This window comes from Homo sapiens, chromosome 17, assembly GCF_000001405.40.
Source record: "Homo sapiens chromosome 17, GRCh38.p14 Primary Assembly".
NCBI lineage: Eukaryota > Metazoa > Chordata > Mammalia > Primates > Hominidae > Homo > Homo sapiens.
In genome coordinates, this window is record NC_000017.11 from 74,004,104 (window position 1) to 74,011,669 (window position 7,566).

General features: G+C 51.2%; 2 annotated features.

The window, feature by feature from the left end:
- Positions 1,591-2,587: an enhancer, noted in NCBI's record as "H3K4me1 hESC enhancer chr17:72001833-72002829 (GRCh37/hg19 assembly coordinates)". NCBI's record gives its function as "activates a minimal SCP1, AML or CMV promoter by ChIP-STARR-seq in naive H9 embryonic stem cells {active_cell/tissue: H9 hESC(naive)}" and the evidence as "EXISTENCE:reporter gene assay evidence [ECO:0000049][PMID:30033119]".
- Positions 5,162-5,662: an enhancer, noted in NCBI's record as "H3K4me1 hESC enhancer chr17:72005404-72005904 (GRCh37/hg19 assembly coordinates)". NCBI's record gives its function as "activates a minimal SCP1, AML or CMV promoter by ChIP-STARR-seq in primed H9 embryonic stem cells {active_cell/tissue: H9 hESC(primed)}" and the evidence as "EXISTENCE:reporter gene assay evidence [ECO:0000049][PMID:30033119]".

The window sequence follows — 7,566 nt, forward strand, 5'->3', positions numbered from 1 at the left end:
GTTAGGAGAGGTACCAGGAGAACCAAGAAGCCTTCACGGTAGGATCCGTATCACTGGCTGTGGCTGGACTAGATGGGGGATCAGCTTAGACTGAGGAGTTGTTAATCCATGAGGGAGAGGCTGGGAGGTAGAGAGTGACATCCGGCTGAGTCCTGTCTGTGCCTGTAGCCCCTCAGCACCTAACAACACCACACTGTAAGCGCCCAGGAAACAGCTGTAAATTGACAACTCAGAAGAATGAATCTCTCTCCTCCACCTTCCCTAGACCAGGAGATGCCCCCGACTTCAATAGCAAAGCAGAGATGAACGACCTCACGATGACAAACATACCAGAATGTCATGAGGTTGAGTTTCTGTTCATTCAATCAGCATTTGCAGGGCTGGGTGCAGTGTGGCCATAAAGGCGGATGAGCTATGACTCCTGTCGTTAAGAAGCTTGCCAACTTGGAGATGATACAAGATATGCAGGTAGGAAACTAGGATAAAAAGGAGAAACTGATGTGCACCCTGACAAAGTGTAGAGAAAGCGTTCCGAGAATTCCAAGGAGAAGGAATGCTTCCTGCTTGGGAGGGTGGGAGGGGCAGGAGAGGAGGCCGAAGGCATGAAGGCAACACCGAATGAAGGCTAAAGGCGTTTGAGCTGAACCTTGAAAAGGATCAAGGCTGGAGGCATCCTGGCAGCATGCCTGTGTGAGCAGGCTGGGGAGGAGGAGGGTGCTGGGTATGGCTGAGATGAAGGCAGGTGTGGGGACTGAGTTAGGCTGGAGCCTGACCCGGTTCCATAGGTTTACACCACCACTGCTGTTCCCTCTTTCTACACTGAAGGGAAAACAATAGATGTTTAAGTGTTCAAAGGTGAGGACTGGGAGGCCCTCTCCATTGTTCCTTATTCTGAGAGCCTTAGAAGCCCTAGCTTTTGTGGCTGGAAGGGATGTTCAAGACAGTTGCCTCTACCTGAGGCTGGAGCCCCTCCTGCTCCAGCACCTATGGTTTCCTCCCCTGCAGCCCAGCAGCACAGTCCTGCAGCGGCAGGTGGGGCATCCCTCCCGTGGCCACAAACCCACCCACCCTCTGAAGCCCAGCCCAAGGGATGACTTCCTGTTCACACACACACCTGCACACTCTCTGGAGACCAACTGGAGGGAGGGAGAAGATGCTGAACCCGAGCAGCACCTTTTGCTGGGCGGGGAGCCCTCCCCGCCCCCTTTCCTATCAGTGTGTCCTCCAGTGTGCCCAGAACAGCCCCTTTCCTGTTCACCTCCCCTCCCACCCTTCCTTTCTAAGCAGGGAGAGAAGTGGCTGTGGGCTAGAAAAATGCCCCCAAACCTTCCAGGACAAAACTTCTGGGGAACAGTGATTCCAATGGGAGGCCAGAGCTAGCAGCTCTGGAACTGGTAGCAGCGCTTAGGGAGCAGGATGGGGGGAAACTCACATTTCTAGAGAAGTGGAAGGCTGGGGAGGAGAGGCCAAAGCCGCCCTGAGCCAGGTACATCCACGTCCACACACTTCTCTCAAACTCTCTCGTCAAAATGAGACAAACAATTCTTCCAGAAACCCAGCCCAAGAGATGTTCATAGCAGATCCTACTGAAAAGTGGGGATGGTGGGGGCAGACACTAAATAATTGAAATTCTTGAGAGCTGTGTGGAGAGGCACGATATTCTTTGCTGCATGTAGAAAGGTTAATAAACACGGGTGACACAGGGCAGTGGCTGGGGACTCGCGGTGAGCAGAAACACTTCCCAGAAGGAAGCTCATGCCTGGGTTTATGCCCAGGGCTGGTGCGTCTCACAGGCTCAGCTCCTCCTGCTCCTGCCTTTGGTCTGCTAGTCCCAGAAGACACCTCTGAGGCACCCAGGGGCGGAGACAGACATGCAAGACTTTCTAAATCAGAAGGCTGGGCAATGTCCCGCCCAAACGCCCTCACTGGGCCCACAGAAAGGATGGAATCCAGCCTCTCTTTATCTTTCCTTAAAAGGAAGAGGCAGAAGGAGAAGAGTGTCATGTCCTGAGCCTCTGGGCCAGCTTCCAGGGGTCTGGTCCCATGCTGGAACCATTCGAGATGGACCCTCCGGGGCTGGCTGTCTTGCCCTGCATGACCCTGCGTCCCCTCACAATGAAGGCTACTGAGTGGGGACACCTGCAAGCAGCCCTCAGCATCACAGCACCCTGGTCAGTGTCCCAGACAAGCTTGGATGTGGACAGGTGTGCCCCCGCGTGCTCTCTGGTAGCTGGGAAAGCCAGCGTGGAGGTGAAGGAGGCCCTGCAGGGAGTGAAGATTGCCTCAGGCACACTGCTGTCCACCCGGAGTCCACATTCAAGCAGCAGTCCAGGCACGGGCCCGCTTCTGCCCTGAGCCCCAAGCTGCCAGCACTTGGCAGCCAGAACCCAGGATGTCTCAGGATGCTGCCGGGTGCTCTGATCTCCCTAGCAAGTGCCTGGCGGCAGTGGTTCACCACCTAAACGCTGCATCCGGAATCTGACAGGGAAACAAGTGCTTGGGTGACACCCAAATGCAGCATCAATACAGACATGCTGACATTTCCATCTGCCCCTCGGTCCCCAGAGTCCCCATGTGCAAGAGAAGCCACAGGCAAAAAAAGTAGGTCACCCCATGCTGGTGGAACAGGGCAGGTGCTTACCAGTTGCTCAGCTAACTGCTTCTGGGGCAGGGGGCATTGTAAGGATGCAGAGAATAAAGGAGGGGGCAATCCTCTGCCCGATTCCCCAACTAACCGGCAGCTGGCACGTGGCAGTATGCTTGGGTCTAGGCCAGCGGTTCTCAGCCCTGATTTTGGAAGGAGTTTTATTTGAGAAAAAAAAAAAAAAAAGATAAAACACAAATGTCTGAGCCCCACCTAAAACCAATTAATTCAAAATCTCTCAGAAAAAGAGACTGAAGCATCAATGATATTTAAAAGCTCTCCAGGGATCAGGTGTGGTGGCTCACACCTATAATCCCAGCACTTTGGGAGGCCAAGGTGGGCGGATCACCCGAGGTCAGGAGTTCGAGACCAGCCTGACCAACATGAAGAAACCCCATCTTTACTAAAAATACAAAAAATTAGCCGGGTGTGGTAGTGCATGCCTGTAATCCCAGCTACTCGGGAGGCTGAGGCAGGAGAATCGCTTAAACCTGGGAGGCAGAGGTTGCAGTGAGCAGAGATTGCGCCATTGTGCTCCAGCCTGGGCAACAAGAGCAAAACTCTGTCTCAAAAAAAAAAAAAAAAAAAAAAAAAACAGAAAAAACAACAACCACCACCACCTCTCCAGGTACTCTGGGAATGTGGGAATGTGTGGTCACAGTGGAGCTGCTCCTGGTCCCAGCAGAGGATGGCCCTTCCCCTCTGTGATCCTGAAGAGGAGAGAAGGACTGGGAGGGAGAAGGTAGTTCAATGCTGAAAATTTCTGTATTTTTTTTTATACTTCTGCAGCCTTACACAAAATGGTCCCCCATCTGGAATGCACCCTTCCCCTCCGCTTACCTGCATTTGACTGACTCTCCAAAGCCTGATTTCAGTTCATCTTCCTCTGATCCCAGGACAGGGTGTGCCCTGTTCATTGTCTCCTGTTTCCTGTCTTATTCCCCCAACAGCCCCTGCACTCCTAGAGACCAACCATTCTCTAAAATGTTAGAGAGACAAATTCTCAGTCTCTATCCGATACCTACTAAGTTAGAAACCCTGGGGGTGGGGCCCAGCCATCTGGGTCTTCACCAGCCCCCTGGGTGAGGCTGCTGAGAGTTCCTGTTCCAGAGTCACTGTGCTGGTCTCTAGACCCAGCTACTCAAAGAGTGGTCCCTGGACCAGTGGCCTCGGCCTCACCTGGGAACTGGTTAGATGTGCAGAATCTCACACCATATCCCAGATCTATCAAATCAGAATCTTTATTTATTCATTTATTTATTTTTTTGAGACGGAGTATTGCTCCGTCACCCAGGTTGGAGTGCAGTGGCACAATGCCAGCTTACTGCAACCCCCACCTCCTGGGTTCAAGAGATTCTCCTGCCTCAACTTCCCGAATAGCTAGGACTGCAGGTGCACACCACCATGCCTGCTACTGTTTGTATTTTTAGTAGAAATAGGGTTTTGTCATGTTGGCCAGGCTGGTCTTGAACTCCTGGCCTCGACTGATGTGCCCGCCTTGGCCTCCCGAAGTGCTGGGATTACAGGTATGAGCCACCGCAACAGCCAGAATCTGCATTTTAACAGGATGTGCGGGGGGTGTGCATGCTGGGGAAAATGTGAGAAGTGCTGCCCTCTTCAGGAAATGAGTCGACGGACTGCCTGAAAAGGGAAGGGCTGGCAGGCTTCATCACCCCCCATCACGAGGGCCATGTCCCCATCCCCCACTCTGTTCCAGGAGATCTCAGCCTTGATCACAAGCTGCAGGTGCTGGGAGCCTACAGAGAGATTCCAGAAAGGTCATCCAAGAAACAAATGGCACAGCCCCTTATCCGCATACGATCAAGTTGAAGATGTGTCTCTGAGGTGATTGCATCCCAGCTGACCACATTCTAGCACCATCCCTGAACATGGGCCAGTGCTGAACTGGACCCATTGCAACTGCCCAGGGAGCTTGGCTTGCTTTATAAGGGCCACCCCTGAGGAGTAACAGTCTGAATTGCCCCAAGATTGTCATCTAAGCCAAGCCTCCTGCTCCCTCGTCCTCTCTCCTGCAATCTTGTCCCTTTCAGCCTTCCCTAAGCACGCTCTCCTCAAATGCACCGAGAAGAGTGGCATCGGACCTCAGTTCCGGGAGTGGGACTCAGGCCGGGCGACAGAGACAGAGAAGGGAGAGAAGAGGATATTGTGGGATTTCCCTGACTCCTTCCTCACGGGCTCCCTTCCGTTCACTTCAAGGAACACTTGAACGCCTACTATGCACTCAGCACAGTGAGTCCCTTCTGTCCCTGCTGAACTCCCACATTAGAGGTTGTTAAAAAAAATGTATTCAATGAGTTTGATATTCAAATACGAGCTTCTCCTGACAGGTTATAAATAGCTTCTTTGAGTCCAATTTGAGGTTTTGATTTTTTTTTTAATGTAAGCTATCAGCCATCCATCTGTGATTGAATCAGAGAGCCTCTTCTCCCTCCTCCCTGAAACCCATCGTCAAAGGCCATTACTACTTTCCCTACTCAGAGAATATTGGGTATGGAGCTTTAATGTCCCCTGGGGAAGAGACCATTACAGGAAAAGAAAAAAAAAAAAAAGACGTATTTCCATCTCTGTTCCAATACGCACAACCTAATTAAGATTTCATAAACACTCACCCAACAGGAAAACACATACGCACACACATTCACAGGCACCTAAATTAGCAAGGCAAATAGAGTCTAGATTAAGTGGTTTTCTTGCCTGTTTCCGTCCAGTTTTAATTAGGCGTCTGTCACAAGGAGGGTGTCACGCAGTGGAATTGTCTCATTTTGATTCTTTAGGCTTGGGATGTTGGGTTGCCAGATCCCCACACCTACACCTTTTTCCTGAGAATCACAGCTCTGTCTTCCCTGGGCCACTCTCCCCTCCACCCTCACCTCCCGCCTGCTGTTTGGGGCCCGGAGGAAGGAGGAGGGGCTTGTCCCCAAGCAGTCCCATTTTGGTGGCCTCCCTATAGCACCGGCTCACCAGGGGACTTGACCCTGGCAGACCCCCACTGTGGGACTGCCTGGTGGCAGTGGGGACCTGCATGCACCCTCCAGATGCCAGGCTCTGGGAATAGAAAGTACAGGCTCCCTGTGACCCCCTCACCCCTCATTCCCGAATGCCAGCAGTGCAGCCCCCCAGCACTGGTGTCCAGGAGGCTGCCTTGAGGGCTGCTCTCAGCCCTGCCAATGTCTTCTCTCCCATCCCTACTGCTGTGCTCCCTCATAGAAGAAAATACGAAAGATGATTCGCTTTCTCCCTCTTTGCAGATCCCTGGGGCTGTTTGGAAAAGTACATTTTCTTCACATGTGTAGAAAATTAAATCTGTTGTGTTTTTGTGGAGCACGGGAGGGGGGAGTTGGGGGAAATGTCACTCACTCATTCGAGCAGACTAGGGGTCGGGGGTGGAAAGTAGGATGGGAGAAGCTCCAGTCTTCTGAATGCCTGGTTAGGGACAGGCTGGGAGGTGCCAGCTGACCCAGGCTGCAGACTTGGCCTCTTGGTCCTGCCTGGAAACCGCCTCCTCCTTGGAGCAACTCTTCTTTTTTTTTTTTTATAACTTTAAGTCCTGGGATACACGTGCTACAGTAACCAAAACAGCACGGTACGGGTACCAAAACAGATATATAGACCAATGGAACAGAACAGAGACCTCAGAAATAATATCTCACATCTACAACCATGTGATCTTCGACAAACCTGACAAAAACAAGCAATGGGGAAAGGATTCCCTATTTAATAAATGGTGCTGGGAAAACGGGCAAGCTATGTGCAGAAAACTGAAACTGGATCCCCTTCCTTACACCTTATACAAAAATTAACTTAGGATGGATTAAAGACTTCAATGTAAAACCCGAAACCATAAAAACCCTAGAAGAAAACCTAGGCAATACCACTCAGGACACAGGCATGGGCAAAGACTTCATGACTAAAACAGCAAAAGCAATTGCAACAAAAGCCAAAATAGACAAACGGGATCTAATTAAACTAAAGAGCTTCTGCCCAGCAAAAGAAACTATCATCAGAGTGAACAGACAACCTACAGACTGAGAGAAAATGTTTGCAATCTACCCATCTGGCAAAGGTCTGATATCCAGAATCTAGAAGGAACTTAAACAAATTTACAAGGAAAAAAAAACAAACAATCCCATCAAAAACTGGGCAAAGGATATGAAGAGACACTTCTCAAAACAAGACATTTATGGAGCCAACAAACCTATGGAGCAACTCTTAGTTTCCTAGAACAAAGCAACAGCTACGCCTACCCGGTGACATCCAAACTTTCCAAGACAGGCTGCAGGGGGTGCAGGAAGAACGAGGCTGGGCTGCAGCGAATGAAAGGTAGTGACTTGTCACTGTGAAGTGGACCCAGCCCCCTGCAGCACTTGTCCATCCGAGGTCACTCTGCAGCCTCCTTCTCCTCCCACAAGGACGAGGGTTTGGAGGCCTGTGAGGATGCATGTGAAGGTGTGGGGCCCGTGATCCCACCGGAACGATGATAAAACCGAGGCCTAGGGGAGACTGTGAGAACTAAGAGCTCACTGCTTCCTGCTCAAGAGACAAAGAGAACTCGTTAATTAATAGATCCTTCCACCCCAGAAGGATGAGGGCTCCACCCTCTCTCTGCCCAACAGAGGCAGATGTAGAAGAAATCAATGCAAAAGAAAACAGAGGCCGGACACGGTGGCTCACACCTGTAATCTCAGCACTTTGGGAGGCCAAGGCAGGTGGATCACCTGACGTCGGGAGTTTGAGACCAGCCTGACCAACACGGCAAAATCCTGTCTCTACTAAAAATACAAAGATTAGCTGGGCGTGGTGGCACACAACTGTAGTCCCAGCTTCTGCTGAGGAGGCAGGAGAATCACTTGAACATGGGAGGCAGCAGTTGCAGTGAGCCGAGATTGCACCATTGCACTCCA